This window comes from Homo sapiens, chromosome 13 (genome assembly GCF_000001405.40).
Source record: "Homo sapiens chromosome 13, GRCh38.p14 Primary Assembly".
Lineage (NCBI taxonomy): Eukaryota > Metazoa > Chordata > Mammalia > Primates > Hominidae > Homo > Homo sapiens.
The window spans coordinates 42,379,525-42,398,969 of record NC_000013.11 but is presented as its reverse complement, the minus strand read 5'-3'; the positions used below and the strand labels follow the sequence as shown (position 1 = coordinate 42,398,969).

Below are 19,445 nucleotides of genomic sequence, written 5' to 3'. Positions count from 1 at the left end.
TCACAATGCTTCTTTGCTAGGTACCAATATTTCTCCTTGTGTACAGTCATGTGGATTCCCATCCAGGCAAGCCTGTTCAACTATACTGCTTCGGGTGACGGCACACCAGCCCAGCTGCATGGGTTTAGTGTTGCTCTGTGAGCACAGACATGCACATTTGCAGCAAGACTCCTCACCCACCATGGACTCAAGGGATTTCACAAGCCCTGTTCAGTGTCTGCAGAGCTGCCTTCCTATCCTCAGGGCCAGCTGTTCTTTGTCCTTTCTGCCTGCAGCAAGCTCTGTCTAGAAGAAAGCTTACAGCGTAACAGTGCACAGGACACAAGTGCATCAAGTGGAAAGAATCCCATGCCAGGGAAAATAAAAGAGCTTTCAGAGGCACGCTCCTTGCCTATGGCCATCAGGACCCTGGATATCAGTTAGCATAACAAGGCTATAGTCAGAAGAACTGAGCAGAGAGTTTAGAGACACTTAAGAGTCTCTAGCACCCAACAGGGCTGTGGGAGCTTGCCAGCAGCTTGCACAGTCATTCCCTGAGGACACCTCCAACAGGTCCCAGGGCTCCTGAGGAGCTGACTTCCTAAACAGGCTTTCCTACCTGTAAAAGGAAGCATCCCTGCCTCCTGGCCTTCTTGATAATTTTTATTGTGAAGATGGCATTGCAAAAGAAGTATTAGACTGGGAATTATACTGAATTTGGCTCTGCCATTTCCTGGCTTGGGGACATCAGGGAAGCTCTTTGTGGATTAGTTCTGTCACCTAAAAATTATAATAATGCCTATCTCCTAGAGTCCCTAGAAAGATTCAAGTAGACAGTGGAGGTGAAAATACCTAACAGAGGGTCTCGCACATGGTTTGCTCTACATGAAAGTTAATGAACACACGAACTACATTAACAAATCATTTCCAGGGTGCCTATTGCGTGTTAGACAGTGACATTTATAAAAATGAGCAAAGCATTTTTTTCCTTTGCTGAACTTGTAGACTAGTTAAGAAGATGGTATGAACACATGCAAGAGAACACATTAAAAAACTGACCAAGCATCCAGAATGGATATACATGACAAGTGCCAAGGGAATCTCAAAGAATAAAGGACAAGCGGAAGAAAGAAAGTCAAGGAAGGAGATATTTTAGCAGAACCACAGAGTTTGAGGAGGATTTTGATGAAACAAGAAAATATCCCAGATGGAGAAAGCCTTTCAGAATAGAGAGACATCCCAGACAGAGACAGGCTTTCAGGAAAATAATTGTCTGTCATGAATTTACATAATAAAAGTTGGTTTTCCAAGGGCCCAGCACAATTGCATTTAATAACTATTAAAACTCAAGACCAATCCCAGCATGTAGAGAAAGAACATCTACTGACCATCTCCTGCATGATGGCATCTTTGATTCAGTACAAGAGAAAGTATATCAATGGTGTTCCAATCTCAGAAAGAGAACAGAAGGCAAGAAAAAGAAAGCATGCAGGCAGATAGCCATCTGCGTGCGCTGGTTTCGGCTTCCTTCAAATGTGTAATTATGATTTCAAGAGCTGAGTTGGCCATTTTGAGAACTGATGGTCCAGGTCAAACAAGTAACCAACAAAGGAGGAAATCAACATACAGACAATATACCATGGTTTTTTGGTATGGTTTTCTCTTAAAGGAGATTTATGTTTGTCAACTAGAAACTAAGTACTCCCTCAATATGTTTTAATTTGGTAGGAAACATCAAATTCACAAGTCTTCAGCAAAGCCTAAAATGGTGCCAACCACCTCATCCCTAGAATAAAACATAAAACTGCATTATTTTCATTTTCTATGAAACACTCAAAGTTCAGGGCTGGAAAATTGTGTGTGGGCTGATGCCTGATGGTGTAGCCGGTTATTATGTGTGACTCACGATAAATTTCCAGAGCTACCACACCTTAAAGTTAAACTCACCCAAGCCAGACAGTAAACTATTAGCAAAGATATTTTGTAACCATAATTTCTAGTCTTTTAACTAGTTTTTTGTTAAACTTGCGCATGGCCAATTTCATAAAAGTCATAGAGCTCTCTTCTCTGGCATCCATGTTTTCAAGTATTTATCCTTTCAGAAACAATACAAAATAAAAACAGGCCCCTGGGGTATTTTAAGGAATTTTTCAGCTGACCAACTTGGTCAACCAGCATAATCCTGGAGCACCGGCACACTCATGTCAGCTGGCCTCAGCTCCTCACCACAACTAGCACTCAGCAAAGGACGCCTGCGGTTGTGGCAGCGTCTGCCCCAGGTACCCAAAAGGAAGTCTCTTCATGGCAAGGCCACGCAGGAGATGGCACCACCCAGAAAGGGCTGATGACAAGGCACAACAGTTCTGACAGAGGCTACGATATAGAGGAGGAGCCGCCAAGCTTTCTCCCGACACAAAACAAAGCAACTAGTAAAGCACTTGTATCTCAGGGAGAGTCCTCATACCTCAGTCCAAGTCCAGTTTCGGTCACCTGCAGTAACACACTTCACAGGAATCCACAATGAACTCACATCAGCCTGTGCCCAAGAACCTAGAGCTGGAAGCTCCTGTTTAACATAAACATGGGTTCAAAGAACAAGTCTAGAGATCTCATTAGAGCACCTGAATCAACTGGCTTTTCTTTTCTTTTTTTTTCTTGTCTTTAAAAAAAAAAAATTCGTAGGGATTGAGTCTCACTATGTTGACCAGGCTGGTCTTGAACTCCTGACCAGAAGCCATCCTCTGACCTTGGCCTCTCAAACTGCTGGGACTACAGGCATGAGCCCTTGCACCCAGCCTCTTTATTTTTAATTATTTTAATGACATACTAGGGGGTCAGTGATGTAGAGGGTGCTTGTGGGCCATGGTGGTCAGTCCTTTGATTCTGATTTTTGAGCTCTGGTTTTCACATGGACGTATCCATTGTTCAGATGGAATGGATGAAATAAATAATTTATAATGTGGGCTTGTTGTCCATTTAGTCCTTTCTCTGACACCACAAGGGTCTCAAATTCGTTCCTAGAGTAATATCCCCCACCCTTTTTACACATCTAATTAATGGAGTGAATAATTATTTTGAGGGTCTCCAAAAACTCTCCCCATTTGGGAGCAGGGCTGGGGGTGGGGAGAGAAGACCTTCATCAGCCAGGGGCAACCAGAAGGCTTCCCATCGGTGCTGGCAAGCCAGCTGAACTGCATTGGGCAGGGCAGAGGCTGGCAACAGGAGACGGGGGAGGATGCTGACGTGCCGCAGACAGAGCACAGAGTTTTTCCTTGGTCAGGAACACAAGCTGTGCACACACCTCAGTCGTTAAGCTCTTAAAAAGGGGAACCTGATGCAATGAATTAAAGGGCATGGAGGAGCCAGAAAGGTGGGAGCAGAAGCCACATCTGTGCCCTGCTTGGCTTTGCCCTGGCCCTGAGCTGACAGGCAGCACGTAGGCGCTGAATCAATCTCCCACAGATGAGTTTTTGGATTAAAAGCCAGCGATGGCTGAGGGAATTGGCTGTAGACTAGAGGAGACACACAGAGTGTACTGGCCTCACAGACAAAAGGTGTCTGTCTGCCTCCTACACAGCATGGGTGGGCCACGCTCCTCAGTGTTCTCTGTGTGCTCTTTTTTGTCTAAATGTCAATCGTGGCCAGGTCTGGTCAGGGCAGTAAGACTGTCTTGTGGTAAGAAATCCCACACTTTCTCAGCAGGTTTCCTCTGATCTCAGCCCTCTGGGCTCCACCTGGATCAGGGCCTAAGGTCCAGGATCTTTCTAGAAGCCCAACATTCCATGCCTCGCTTACTCGGCTTGAGGGCAGCTTCTGGTGAAGAAACCATCTTCACTTGCTTCTCTTTTGTTCTCCTACAAAACCACTTCCTCTCCCCATCCCGTCCACCTGGCAACACCCACCCCAACACTGCCATGCTTCGCTCCTCAATGACAGTTTCAAGGTTCCTATTCCAATCCATATTCAGACTTAGGGGTTCCCTTGGAACACAACACATAGAAGAGAAGAGCAAGATTCTAATCAGCAATCAGTCCCCTCATTCAGCCTTGCCTTCTACTGATTTCTATGTCTTCTCCTCCTGCTGTTCCTCCTGCCCCACACAGTCTTACTGCACCTGTGTACCCTGAGTCAGAACCTCCACAGCTTTTTGGTGGAAAGAGGCAAGCTCAGAGGTTCTCTGTCCTATCTTCCTTCTCTTGAACTTCTGAAAGCCCACCTGTTCTACAGGAGCTCCCAGCTACACAGACCACGCACACTGTGCTGTTTTTCTACAGGATATGTTCTCCTGTTGTTTGTAGAATCTTGTGCCCAATTGTGCTTTCTGACTGCTAGGTTATTTTGTTCTCAAAGCAGGAAGGAAGTGTGATCTGATAAATAGAGCACTTGCCTGGAAATTGGGATACTTGTGTTCTCAATTGGTCTCACTGTGGAAAAAGTACGTTGACTCTCTGGGTAAACTGATATCTCGGCAGGCTTGGGTGAATGAGCAGGAAACGTGGCAGGCATCCAGAAGGCACATCCTCAGTCGCTGGCCCTTCCTGTATTTAGGCACACAATAGTTGCAGTTCCTGGATGGCTCCTAGGATCAGTAGGTTCCCTACTTCATGGTCTTCTTCCTCCTCTCCTTTCCCCAGTCTTGACTATTTGGCTCCTCCAGCACTAGTTGATAAAAGAAACTCAAACCTTAGACACCCAAAAAGTCAATTATTGTCCAAAATCCTTCATAAACAACTATGCTGAGAGTGCCTAAGGGCCAGGCATGCATCATAAGTAGCCTGGGCTTGAAATGAGTGAAGATGTAAACAGAGCATGCTCTCAAGAATTCTGTTAAATGATTTCTCACTCCTAACTCCTACACATAAGGGTCAGGACACTTTCAGTCTTGAGTGACAGAAATTCAACTCAAATTAGCTTAAATCAAGAAAGAAATCCATGAGTTTATTCACTGAAATGCATTTGACCTCGGGCAAGGCTGATGTAAGGTTTCAGACAATGTCATCATACACGTGCCTCTCTCTGCACCTGCTGGACAGGTGCTCTCCAAAAGGTGAGAAGGTGGTTGCCAGCATAGAATTCCAGTGGAATGAAAGTAGTTTCAAATAGTTCCAACAGAAAGGTCCTGGGAAGCCTCTGCTTGGGTCATGTGCCCATTTCTAAACCACTCCTGGGTCACGTGGCTTCCTCTGTGGCAGGGTGGGTCTGGCTCCAGTTGTGGAATACGTTCTCCACCAGACAGAAACATCCAGTTCCTAGAAGAATGGAAATAGATGCTGGACAGGCAAAACACCCAATGTCTCCCACACCACGCTGAGCCAGCAGTGAACCAGAACTGTAGAAACTCTCAGCAAACTGGGATGCCAAATGCATCCAGGGAACAGTCTTCCAAATCTCACAAGTTTCCAATAAAAGACAAAGAAAGAGCGGAGGCTGGATCTCTGGAACATAACAATGTGGCACTCTATTTCTTTCTATTACTGGATAAAGTGTTTCCAGTGTGGTAGAGCTAAGTAGCCACAGACTTTGCTGCAATCATCAAAATGTTTTTATGACTCATGAGATAAATGAGAAAAACACACGGAAGAGTCAAAGTTACACTGAAGTTAGATTGTAATCACACCCTTTACTTCTAACAACCCGCTGCTGACAAAGTTTCCTGCTGAGAGCACATTACTGACTTATTTTCTCCACAGAGGGCATCTATCAATCCTAAAGCAGATTATCGCCTGGACAGATTATGTGAGACCTGCTTTTCACACAGGTTGGTGTCCTGTCAACAATCAATGCAGCTCCTGTCTCTACCACTGAGGCAGTCTGCTGAAGAGAACACTGACCCACTGGCCCAGGAATCCAAATTTGGGGATATTGAGTCTTCTGATGGGCCACAAATCAGCTTAAATGACAACACTTTCTTTAAACACTACACGAAAGGCTCATAAGTGGATGAGGATGCTTTTCTGCACTAAAAGGATCAGTCCTCTCTCTAGTAGCGAGGACACTTTAACACCCTGATAGTCCTTCCAGGAAGTAGAGCTTTCTGAGATAGGCCTCCAAGTCACAGAAGAGGGCCTCAGACAGAGCTTTCCCTGACTTTGTGGTAACTGGGGTTTTCTCACCATCAGGCCTCTGTGCCTCCAATAGGCCCATGTCTCAGTAACAGCAAACCACCAAAATTCATCAAGCACCTGCTATGTGACAAGCATGGGAACACAAAGATTAATAGGGAGAGATATTCCCTGGCAAAATGGCATTTTGAGCTCAAGTTGTGGGCCCCCTCATCTCTACTCCAAACACAGCAATAATATGTAAAACATGTATTTCTGCAATAAAAATAAAATCACACTGAAAAATCAGATAAATACTTCCATGAAAAAGAAAGAGTAATAAATAGTGTCAAAACCATGGGCCTCTTGGTCTCTTGGTCAAGAAGGCATAGATGACCAAAGTCTGATTCTTTTGGGGTAACAGGGAGCAAAACCTTCCAGATATGGCAGAGGACCCAAGTCAGGATCACCACCTGAAGCCAGGCATGGTGCTGAGCTCCCTTGTTTGTAAAAGGAGGTGGAAAAGCTAAAACATTGGCCTTTCTATAGGCCAGTGGATGGGCAGGAAGCAGGCACAGCCCTGGAGCCCCGTCCTGGGGGAAGCCACCCACCAGCTGAGTGGCTACATGTAGGTATCCCCAGTACATGAGGTAAGAGCCCATCCACCAACATTCAACCTGGATCCAGAACAGAGTTCCTGGGAACCAGACAGAGGCAATGTCAAAACCATTAACTGGGGAGGAAAATAACCCAGAGCTATGGGGAGAAGTGAGCTCCTCAGGAAGAGCATACAAACCTAAATTTGAAAGAAAATTTAACAGGAAGAAAGTTAGACAACAAGCTCAAAGACCAGCAACATTTACTCCCTCCAAATAGAAACACCTGAGCAATCTCAAAAGCATTTAAAAGAAGCATGCTTAAAACCCTCAGAGATAAAGGAAGTAATTACATCTATGAGAAACAAACAAACAAAAAAAGCAGATATGAATAAACAATATATGGTTCTGAAAAGCAACCAAATACTAGTCCTGAAAACAGAATATACTGTCATTGAAATTGGAAGCTCACAGACTGCCCAGAAGATAGCACAGAAGATAAAAAGAAGACATGAAAAGGGTCATCAGAAGCCAAGAGGACAGACTGAGGGATTCCAACAGAAGACTCACAGCAGCCCCAAAATGAAAGAATAGAAGAATTGGTGTAGAAAAAAATATATAGAAGGAACTAACAGTTCATAATTTTCCAGTATTGAAAAAAATCATAGATTTATAGTGAACACTGGGCATCAAATATATATATTCCTAACTAGATGCATTGTAATGAAACTGCAGAACATTGCTATAGAGAAAAAAATTTAAAATCTAACAGGGAAAAAGACAATCCACAAAAGAGTAGCAATAAGACCAACAGCAGACTTCTCATCATTAACAACAAATATCAGAAGACAGAAGAGTGATGTGATCAAAGCTTAAGGAAAAATAAGTATTCTTTACCTATTTGAACTATCATTTAAGAAGAAGGTGAGGTAGATATTTTTAGACATATGAAGTCTAAGAACTTTTAACACCTACGGACACTCACTAAATGAAAAATAGTTCCTCAAGAGGAAAAAGGATCACAAAGAAGGAGTACAAATTTATTTTAAATGGTGAGCAAAGAAACTGGTAAATTATATTGATAATTTAACTACTAACTATCAAAAATAACTCTTTTATTTTAAATTCTAGGTGACAAAAATAAGGAAGATAGAGGAATGAGAGTGACTGAATAATTTCAGATGTTATTAGAAAACTCATGTATGGTAAAGATATAACCTACCAAAAAGTTAAATGTATAGTTTCCAAAGCAATGGAGAGAAAAAAGTGTTGGGAAGAAATTAAAATGTATGTATTTTTAAGATGTTAACAATAAGTCCAAATATGGTGATAATCACAATAAATATCAACATATTAAATTCATGTATTAGAAGACAATCTATCAGGTTGAATTTTTTTAAAAGCTCATGTATTTTAGAAAGTGCACGTTGTTGGCAAAGCAGTAGAGGGAGTCGAAGTAGATGTCAGGGTTTCTGCCACAGAGACTTGGCTCTGCCACACATAAGATGAGGAAGACCTTACCTAAGGCAGCTCTGGGATGGGGCTGTAGAGAAGAGAAGGGCCTGAAAGGACATACAGCAGGAAGAACTGATGGACATACCAGCCAACTGGATTGGGCTAAGTTCAAAGAGCCTCCTTACAAAGATAGCACAGTTTTATGCTGGGTAACATCTACAAATGGGTGGTGGTTAAAAGTGAAGATACTGGCCAGGCAAGGGCTCACGCCTGTAATCCCAATACTTTGGGAGGCCGAGGTGGGCAGATCACTTGAGGTCAGGAGTTCGAAATCATCCTGGCCAACATGGTGAAACTCCGTCTCTACTAAAAATACAAAAATTGACTAGGCATGGTGGTGCGTGCCCGTAGTCCCAGTTACTTGGGAGGCTGAGGCAGGAGAATCGCTTGAACCCAGGAGGCAGAGGTTGCAGTAAGCCTCGATCACGCCACTGCACTCCAGCCTGGTGACAGAGCGAGACTCCATCTCAAAAAAAAGTAAAGATACTGATCAAATTGCCTACACAAACGGGAGAAGACTAAGGCCCAAATCCTTGGCAACACCAGCTTTTAAAAGCCATACAGAGGAAGATTCAACCAAGAACCCCCAAAACATATAAGATCAAAAGAGAATTTTGTCATATCAGTCACTGATTTAAGGGGTAGAGGGTCACCAACATCAGTTAATTTTAGAGGTCAAGAACCAAGAAGCACATAGTGAGTTTGACAATATGGAGGTCACTGGGGAGCTTTGGCCTCATTGATTAATGAGTCGTGTGTCAGATTGAATCCCAGAAACCTGATCCCATCTACCCACAGATTTTCTCCAGATGACCTTGGTTATTAATTAGACAATTTAATGCCCATAATTAAACATCATCTTCTTGTAGCCAGGATTCTCCTTGACCACTCTTGAGGCTTCTTCAAAATTCTCATGATAGACATATACACAATGCAATATTATTCAGCCTTTTAAAATAAATAAAATCCTGTCATGTGTAACAACATGGATGGAGCTGGAGGTCATTATGCTAAATGAGACATAGAAAGAGAAATACTGAACAATTTTACTTACATGTGGAATTTAAAATAATCAAATTCATAGTAAGATGGTGGTTGCCAAGGGTTGGCAGAAGGGGGAATGGGGCGATGTTGGTCATGAAGTATAAAAATGGTAACTACAGGCCAGGCACAGTGGCTCACACCTGTAGTCCCAGTACTTTGGGAGGCTGAGGTGGGAGGATTGTTTGAAGCCAGGAGTTTGAGACTAGCCTGGGCAACAGAGCAAGACCCTATCTACACACACACACACACACACACACACACACACACACAAAATTAGCCAGTCAAGGTGGCACACACTTGTAGTCCCAGCTACTCAGGAGGCTGAGGTGGGAAAATTGCTTGAGCCCAGGAGTTTGAGGTTAGAGTGAGCAAGGATTGCACTACTGCATTCCAGCCTGGGCAACACAGAAAAAAAAAAAAAAAAAAAAAAAAGCATAACTTTGTAGAGGCAATATATATGTTAATTATGTGGAAAGCAGTGATTATTTCACAATGTATACACATATCAAAACATCAAGTTGTATGCCTTAAATATATACAGCCTTCATATGTCAATGATATCTTAAAGCTGTTACCAAAAAATCAAGAGTTCCCAATTCCCATAATATCAACTTCAAAGCAGCTGGCTTCAAGAACAGATGTTTGAGCTCTGTTCCCTGACTTCTCTGCCCCTAGTTTCAGGATTTTCTCACTTTTTCTTTTAAGGAAGGGATGCACCTTCTTTTGTTTTGGAGGGGTAGAAGGAATCAGTCATCTTACGTTTATGTTCACAGTAGCCAATATTTACCAAGCACCTTCCATGTGCCAGGCACTGACCTAGGGGTTTTCATATACTGTATTTAATTTTCTCCTTACAAGCTTGTGGTAAGGCAGGAACTGTTGTTCCATTTTACAGAAGAAGGAATCCTCAGACAAAAATTACAAACACTGCTTCTTTTCAGCTAAGAGTGAACAGAAACACTCCAGATGCCATCACTCCAGGGTCCAAGTTCTACTGTAGCCACACTGAACATAAATAACATGCCATGGGTCCAATAACATGAGCTGAATTGTGGAATTATGAATAATTTTTTAAACATTTTGGGTAGAGTGTGTGAATGGAACTGCCTCAAGAAAGTAGACTTGGGGAGGGAGGGAAAGAGTAAGCAAGGAAGGAGGGGAGAAAGGGAGAAAAGGCAAGAAGAGATTGTGGGAGTAGTGGGGAAGACTAGTGGCACCAGGGACTTGGGCCAGAATGCGCAGCCACCACAGGAAATACTCAACCCAAACAGCCTCCCCGCCAGGAAGAGCAGACAGCTTACACCTGGCTTCAATAAAGAGCCCATCCTGCAAACCCTGCCTTGGTCTTGCAATGGTCATGAAATATTGGGTTTTTTAAAACCCAAAAGGCAACTTGCCTGGTGCTCTGCCACTTCAATCTCTGCATTGTTTTTGGAAGCAATGAATTTATTTATGTTCTGCTCATTAAAATGCTGTTTGAAAAAAAAAGACTGCTATTTATGATGCCCAAATTGAAAGATCCTTTTCCAAAGAAGAGAATGCAGGTGGAGAAGCTCATTGATAATTAATTGCTCCTTACTACCAAACACATTAATTTTTCAGTGAACCTTCAGGTTAGACAAACTAAAAAACATGTTCCTTGACACCCCCTTTGCTTTCTGCTGACACAGGCATGTGAGAATAATGCTTTAATGGTCTTTCTACAGTCTCCTTTATAGCACCTGCATCATCAACACCGTTTCAATGTTCTCCATGTCATTGCCTGGACTTGGACAAAAGCTATTGTCAGTCTGGTCGCTTATGGTTTCTTTAAGTTGATGATTAAGCCAGCAAAATTCTGTTTGAAATTGCATCTAATTTAAGGTTTCAAGATCCAACCATGTATTTCCACTTGTCTGTGGTCCCAGTATTCTACTTGTCTTAAAGCCTCCCCAAATCAGTAGTTATGAGCTCCTAACTGCCCCACTCAGCAGCCTAAGGACATTGGTGAAGTAATTTCTCCATGTAAGATCACAATTTCTGAAACCATTTCCTCTCCTCACTCTCCTTGACCTCTCTTCAGCATTTGGCTCTATTAACCACACCCTCCTTGAATATCACTCACTCTCTCTCTCTGAGTGTGTGTGTGTGTGTGTGTGTGTGTGTGTGTGTGTGTGTGTGTGTGTGTGTGTTAAGGGTAAAGATTCTGGCATCAACAAACCTGAATATGAATTGCAGTCTAACACTTTGCAACTGCAAGACATTGAGGAAATTGCTTGAAAACTATTGAGTGTCTGTTCCCACATATGTAAAAAATGAATGATAATCCCTTCTTTGTAAGAGTTGTAGTGAAGACTGAGTTAGCTGCTTATAAAGTGTTTAATAGATACACAGTCTCCATGAGGGGACAATAGACTGATCTGATCCTCTCTGCTTCACATTTTCATCTCTTTTAAATATTAACATTGTCCAAGATTCAGTCTTAACTTGCTGCAGTCTTCAGCCATCAGCCAATATACTTCTCTCTCTACTCTTTGCATATGTCTCTCTGTAACCTTCCCCGCATCCCAGACCTCACTTGGAAGCCAGCAGACTAGCCTAGCAGTCTTAAACTCACCATATAATCCTTGGAGACATGGCTTCATCCCTAGGTCTTTGTTTCCATGTCTATAAAACAAGAAGCTGAGTTGGTGAATGAACAATAGAGCATGATTCCCCATTGCTCCTTCCTACATAAGTGAAGTAATTTTTCTCACCTGTTTCCCAATCTTTCCTTTATCTCTTTGGTAAACTTTGTATGTGTGTCCCTCCAATCTCATGTTGAAATATGATCCCCAATGTTGGAGGTGGGGGCCTAGTAAGAGGTGTTTGGGTTATCAGGGTGGATCCCTCATGGCTTGGTGCTGTCCTCTAGATAGTGAATGAGTTCTCACAAGATCTGTTTGTTTAAAATCTCTCTCTCTTGCACGTGCTCTCACCATGTGATGCCTGCTCCCCCTTTGCCTTCCACCATGATTGTAAGGTTCCCAAGGCCTTCACCTGATGCGGATGCTGGAGCAATGCTGCAGAACCATGAGCTAATTTCTTTATAAAATGAGTGAACTCCCATTCACAATTGCTTCAAAGAGAATAAAATACTTAGGAATCCAACTTACAAGGGATGTGAAGGACCTCTTCAAGGAGAACTACAAACCACTGCTCAAGGAAATAAAAGAGGATACAAACAAATGGAAGAACATTCCATGCTCATGGGTAGGAAGAATCAATATCGTGAAAATGGCCATACTGCCCAAGGTAATTTACAGATTCAATGCCATCTCCATCAAACTACCAATGCCTTTCTTCACAGAATTGGAAAAAACTACTTTAAAGTTCATATGGAACCAAAAAAGAGCCCACATCGCCAAGTCAATCCTAAGCCAAAAGAACAAAGCTGGAGGCATCACACTACCTGACTTCAAACTATACTACAAGGCTACAGTAACCAAAACAGCATGGTACTGGTACCAAAACAGAGATATAGATCAATGGAACAGAACAGAGCCCTCAGAAATAACACCGCATATCTACAACTATCTGATCTTTGACAAACCTGAGAAAAACAAGAAATGGGGAAAGGATTCCCTATTTAATAAATGGTGCTGGGAAAACTGGCTAGCCATATGTAGAAAGCTGAAACTGGATCTCTTCCTTACACCTTGTACAAAAATCAATTCAAGATGGATTAAAGACTTAAACGTTAGACCTAAAACCATAAAAACCCTAGAAGAAAACCTAGGCATTACCATTCAGGACATAGGCGTGGGCAAGGACTTCATGTCTAAAACACCAAAAGCAATGGCAACAAAAGCCAAAATTGACAAATGGGATCTAATTAAACTAAAGAGCTTCTGCACAGCAAAAGAAACTACCATCAGAGTGAACAGGCAACCTACAAAATGGGGGAAAATTTTCACAACCTATTCATCTGACAAAGGGCTAATATCCAGAATCTACAATGAACCCAAACAAATTTACAAGAAAAAAACAAACAACCCCATCAAAAAGCGGGCGAAGGACATGAACAGACACTTCTCAAAAGAAGACATTTATGCAGCCAAAAAACACATGAAAAAATGCTCATCATCACTGGCCATCAGAGAAATGCAAATCAAAACCACAATGAGATACCATCTCACACCAGTTAGAATGGCAATCATTAAAAAGTCAGGAAACAACAGGTGCTGGAGAGGATGTGGAGAAATAGGAACACTTTTACACTGTTGGTGGGACTGTGAACTAGTTCAACCATTGTGGAAGTCAGTGTGGCAATTCCTCAGGGATCTAGAACTAGAAATACCATTTGACCCAGCCATCCCATTACTGGGTATATACCCAAATGACTATAAATCATGCTGCTATAAAGACACATGCACACGTATGTTTATTGAGGCATTATTCACAATAGCAAAGACTTGGAACCAACCCAAATGTCCAACAACGATAGACTGGATTAAGAAAATGTGGCACATATACACCATGGAATACTATGCAGCCATAAAAAATGATGAGTTCATGTCCTTTGTAGGGACATGGATGAAATTGGAAATCATCATTCTCAGTAAACTACCGCAAGAACAAAAAACCAAACACCGCATATTCTCACTCATAGTTGGGAACTGAACAATGAGATCACATGGACACAGGAAGGGGAACATCACACTCTGGGGACTGTTGTAGGGGGGAGGGGGGAGGGATAGCATTGGGAGATATACCTAATGCTAGAGGACGAGTTAGTGGGTGCAGCACACCAGCATGGCACATGTATACGTATGTAACTAACCTGCACAATGTGCACATGTACCCTAAAACTTAAAAGTATAATAAAAAAATAAATAAAATAAATAAATAAATAAAATAAAATAAAATAAAATTACCCAGCCTCAGTTATTTCTTTACAAGTAATGCAAAAACGGCCTAATACATCATACCTTCTTCTTCCCATCTTCCTCTCCCTCATCTCTGAGGCCTGGGATAGAATTTGCATAGTTTACCAGGTTGCAATAGTCGAGGTTGGGATATAATAGTATAAGATTCTGTCTCCTAGCTCTCATCACCCAGCACGGCTGTGGCTTTGGAGATATGGAGTAACTTGGATGCTTCTGATAGGAAACCTTCTTAAGAAATTTAGTTCAGCTTAGTGAAGGGCATAAAATTCATGAAGATACTAAGGTGTTTCCTCCCACCTTAAGCTAAGCTACATATGGTAATAAATCATTTTCATGAGAGAACAGCTTTGTGCAGCCATTCTGGAAAGCAATCTGGCACTACTTAAGCAAACTGACTACTTAGTTACACTGTATGACTCACCAATTCCACTGCAGGTGTGTGAGTCCATGAGGGAAGCTGTATGAGAATGGTCATCGTGGCAGAGACTTGGAGGCAGTCTTGGTGTCCATTGGCTGAGTAGATAGGTGAAAGGGGTTACACGCACCATGAAGACTCTTCAACAAGTAGAAGCTAAGAACCAGATGTACGCACATCATTATGAATAGATCTTTAAAACACAGTACTGAGTTTCTGAAAAGGAAATAAACAGAATACAATATTTAGCACAATATTTACATAATTAACAATACCTGCCCATGTAATTGACCACCATTGGAGAATGCAAGGGAATCAACTTATTAGTTTTTAAAACTGGTAAGTAAAAGGGAAGAATCAAGCATTTATTCTGATCCCTTTCTAAAATATACCATGGATAGTCAAACAATACAAGGAGAAGTTTTTTCTTATAGAAATATTCCAGCTAGTAAACAAAGAAGAAATCCCAGAATTACAATATCATCAGTTTGCAAACTCAACTGTGGCAAATAGACTCTAAGACAGCCTGCAATTATCCCTGATACTTACACCATTGTGCAATCCCCTCCCCTTGAGTGTGGATGGGACCTGTGATTTACTTCCAACCAACACAATATGTAAAAGCTATGGGTGTCACTTCCATGATTATGTTACATACAATTGTAGCCTCTCTCTTGCTAGCAGGCTTTCTCTATGGGTCTCTGTACTGCTGAAGTTGATGAACTAAGCTGCTATATGGGGAGGCTCACAGGGCAAGCAACTAACGGTGGCCTCTGACCAACAGCCAGCAAGGAAATGAGGCCCTTAGTTAGACAACCCCCAAAGAATGAAATCCTGCCAACAGCCACATAAACTTGAAAGGGGATCCTATATTAGTCAAGCCTCAGGTGACACCCCAGCCCTGGTCAACACCTTGTTTGCAGACTTCTGAGACATCTGGAAGCAGAGGAATCAGCTGATTCATGCCTGGATTTTGATCCATAAACACTGAGATAATTAATATGTTTTGCTATAAACCACTAAGTTTGCATCAATAGTGTTACACAGCAATAGATAAGTAATACAAAAATAAATAGTCCTAGGCTTTGATCATCAGTGGCTGCTAATGTCACATAAAAAAGAGACAACCACGTTATGCACATCCTGACGAAAGAACACAAGACAAACCATGAAACAGTCTTGTTAAAAAAATTAAATACAGATGTGATGAGATCCCTAGATTCAGCTACCAACTCAAAGAAACTACAAAAGAACGGAGGAACTCGTTAAACTACACCACAGGGACGCAATCAGCAAAATCTACACTTTGTTAAATTCTACGGGACAAAAGACCTGAGTTTCTCAACAAACAAACTGTAGGGGAAAAAAGAAACAGATTCGGTAAGAAACCTGCTAATTAAAAGAGACTTATAGAAATATAAACCAATCACTATGTTTAATCACTATGTTTGGGCCTTATTTAAATCTGGACTCATATAAACAAACTGTGGAAAAAATAACAGTCATTAGAAGATTGGAAATTTGAGGATTAGCTTTTTGATATTAAGAAAACATTGTTCTTTTAAAGCTATTGATGAGGATTTTGTGGTTGTGTTATCTTGCAGAAAAACACACTCAAATACTTATGGGAGAAATGATCTGATGTGTGGAAGGCAGGCAGTGGATGGGATGTAGATGAAGTAGGACTGGCCATGGCCTGATGGTAGTTAAGGATGAATGATGGGCACACGGGATTTATTATATTCTTCTATGTCTTTTTGGATATGTTCAAAATTCCCCTCCACAATAAAAAGTTTTTAAAATAACATACAAACAAGAAAACAACAAACACTTTGAAAGAACACTCAGAAACAAAAAAGCACAAACATTAGACAAGCTGCATATAAGGGGGGAGAATAACAACAGTGCAGAATGGGGATTAAAAAAATGAATGACTAAGCAAATGAATACACAAACTAAGTGAGGGCGCCAGTGAACTAATGATGACGGTGATTATACACAGAAGAGTATGATTAACTCAACCCGCTACTCACTCAGGTCCAAAAGAAAAAAATTTCTCGGGGCTTTGTTAGAAGCTCCCCAGCCTGCCCCTTGTCTGAAGCCTGATGCTAGGACTGAGTACTTCTCTAAACTTCATCCATTTCCTGGAGGCCACATGCTAATCTAGATGTGCATCACCTGTCCTTCAACGGTCTCCCTTCCTCTCTTAGCTCCGTTCTCTCCCCGCAATACTCCCTGGCCCCCACCCCCCACTGATTTACAATTTTCGTGAAATACAACCTTGTCACTGTTCTGCTCAAGATCCAACAACCGTTTCCCAGTAACCTACAAGATACAACACAGTTAAAATCTGTTTCCCAATATTCAAGACCTTCAACGTCTGGCCTGTCACTCCTTTCCTACTTTCGCCACTTCTCAACATGAACTCATCACCCTACCCAACTCCCAGCACCCCACACTCCTGTTCCCCAGCTCAGCCACAGCCAGCCAACCCAATTACACCCTCCTTAGCACGTGCAGTGGTTCTCCCTTGATTGCTCCTAATCTTGTCTATAACAGGGACACACCCCTCTTAGCTCTGCCCCAAGAGGAGGGGTTGCTAATCTGATTGGGCTGCATCACCAATGCACCAGCGAGTGTGTCCAGGAGTTTGTTCCTTCCAGTGGGTTCGCGGTCTCACTGACTTCAACAATGAAGCCGCGGACCTTTGCAGTGAGTGTTACAGCTCTTAAAAGTGGCAGGGACCCAAAGAGTGAGCAGCAGCAAGATTTATTGTGAAGAGCAAAAGAACAAAGCGTGGAAACGGACCCAAGCAAATTTCTGCTGCTGACTGAGGTGGCCAGCTTTTATTCTCTTATTTGTTCCCGCCCATGTCCTGCTGATTGGTCCATTTTACAGTGTGCTGATTGGTCCATTTTACAGGGTGCTGATTGGTCCATTTTACAAACCTCTAGCTAGCTATAGAGTGCTGAGTGGTGCGTTTTTACAGAGCACTGATTGGTGCATTTTACAAACTTCTAGCTAGCTACAGACCATCCATTGGTGCATTTTTACAGAGCACTGATTGGAGCATTTTACAAACCTCTAGGAAGCTACAGAGTGCTGATTGGTGCATTTTACAATCCTAGCTACAGAGTGCTGAGTGGTGCATTTTACAATCCTCTTGTAAGACAGAAAAGTTCTCCAAGTTCCACTGGACCCAGGAAGTCCTGCTGGCTTCACCTCTCACGAGGGGGCGTGGGCCGCAGCCCCACGCTGGGGTGAGGTTATCTGGCACTGTGGACCTCAGTTGGCTGAGGCCATAAGCAGAATGGAGCTGTTTCCCTAGGGCAGCTGAATCAACTCACTCTCTTTCTAGGGACCTTGTTCATCTCTCATCCCTGAGACAGAATGAGTAAACTGAGGTAGGACTGTCTGGCTCTGAGCTGGCCCAGTCGTCTTGCTCTCTGCCCCCTCCCCTCTGTGCACCCTGCGCTCAAGGGCAGGTGAGTAGGAGGAAGTAGCAGCTTCCCTAAAGCTGTGAGCCAGCTGAGAGCCTCAGCCTCCGCTGAGCAGAGAACCCCCGCCGGTTCTCAGGGCGATTTAAGATGACACGAAGTTTGGTTAAAACCTAAACAGTACTCAAGTGAAAATCGTAAAGAGTGGAAAATGCCCTTAAAAATGTCTTAAACTGTTCCTAGAATACTGCCTGGAATAAAAGGCTATACGTATACAATTCTGTGTCTGTTCTCCCAATTCTTTGTTGGTCATTGTTTCTCTATGACTTTCAATTAATTCTTCAGTTGATTCCTCCACTCTTCCACCAGCCTCGGCCAGGCCTCCTGAACAAAGTGCTTCTCTTCTCTGAGGGAGGCTGGAAAATCATTAAAATCGTTTACAAGAGGGAGGAAGAGAAACCAGGGCTGGCAGTGAGTGGGACAAGGGAACCTCTGGGGTTATGATGAAGTTCTGTTTCTTGACCTTGGCTGTGGTTAATACAGGTGTGCTCACTGTGTCATAATTCATCAAGCTGAACACTGGTGACTGTGCGCTTTTCTGTATGATCATAATACTTCAATTTTTTAAGGTTTATTTTAAACACATAATTCTTCCCCTAAACTTTCTAGCAAGGCTGGACTGTTTGAGGCTTAATGGTCCAGGACCCATGATATCTGCCCTAAGCCCTCTCTGTTTGTTTTCTTTTACCCAGTAGTTGAATTCCAGTAAATTAATTGAGGGTAGGATGAAAGTAAATTATAAAGTAGCTCCATTACTAACTTGCTGTGACTTTTGCAGTTACCATGTTGTACAACAGATCTCTTAAGCATATTCCTTCTTTTAGTTTTAGAAAAATTTAAATATTTTTCTTAGTGTGACAGCTCTTACATAATACTCTAAAATGAATTTCTGTGCTGCTTTTTAACTTTCTACCGTTGGCTACCAAGTTATAACCCGAGAGTACTGTTCTGAGCTACATTGCATCTTCCCCAAATTTATATGTTGAAGTCCTAACCAGCCAGTACCTCAGAATGTGATTGCATTTGGAGATAGGGTATTTAAAAAGGTCATTGCATTAAAACGAGGGCACATAGAGTGGGCCCTAATCCAAAATAACTGGTCTCCTTATAAGAAGAAGAGATAAGGACACAGACAAAGACAGAAGGAAGACCATGTGAAATCACAGAGAGAAGACAGCCACCTACAAGCTAAGGAGGGAGGCCTCAGCAAAAAACAACTCAGCTGACACCTTGATCTTGGACGTACAGCCTCCAGAATTGAAAGAAAATAAATTTCTGTTATTTAAGCCAACTTTATTATGGCAGCCCTAGCAAACCAATATAAGTATCAATCTCCATTGCAAGTGAAGTATTGCTGTAATAAATAACACACAATTTCATTGTGTATGTACCATCTCCAAGTAAACTGGAAACTTTTTGATGTTCGTGAATGTGACTTTTATTCCTTGGAC

The 19,445-nt window shown here is 42.2% G+C and overlaps 3 annotated features.

Moving 5' to 3' along the window:
- Window positions 3,118–3,267: an enhancer, noted in NCBI's record as "active region_7646". NCBI's record gives its function as "activates an Ori minimal core promoter by ATAC-STARR-seq in GM12878 lymphoblastoid cells {active_cell/tissue: GM12878}" and the evidence as "EXISTENCE:reporter gene assay evidence [ECO:0000049][PMID:35858748]".
- Window positions 4,168–4,217: an enhancer, noted in NCBI's record as "active region_7645". NCBI's record gives its function as "activates an Ori minimal core promoter by ATAC-STARR-seq in GM12878 lymphoblastoid cells {active_cell/tissue: GM12878}" and the evidence as "EXISTENCE:reporter gene assay evidence [ECO:0000049][PMID:35858748]".
- Window positions 17,442–17,511: a silencer, noted in NCBI's record as "silent region_5299". NCBI's record gives its function as "represses an Ori minimal core promoter by ATAC-STARR-seq in GM12878 lymphoblastoid cells {active_cell/tissue: GM12878}" and the evidence as "EXISTENCE:reporter gene assay evidence [ECO:0000049][PMID:35858748]".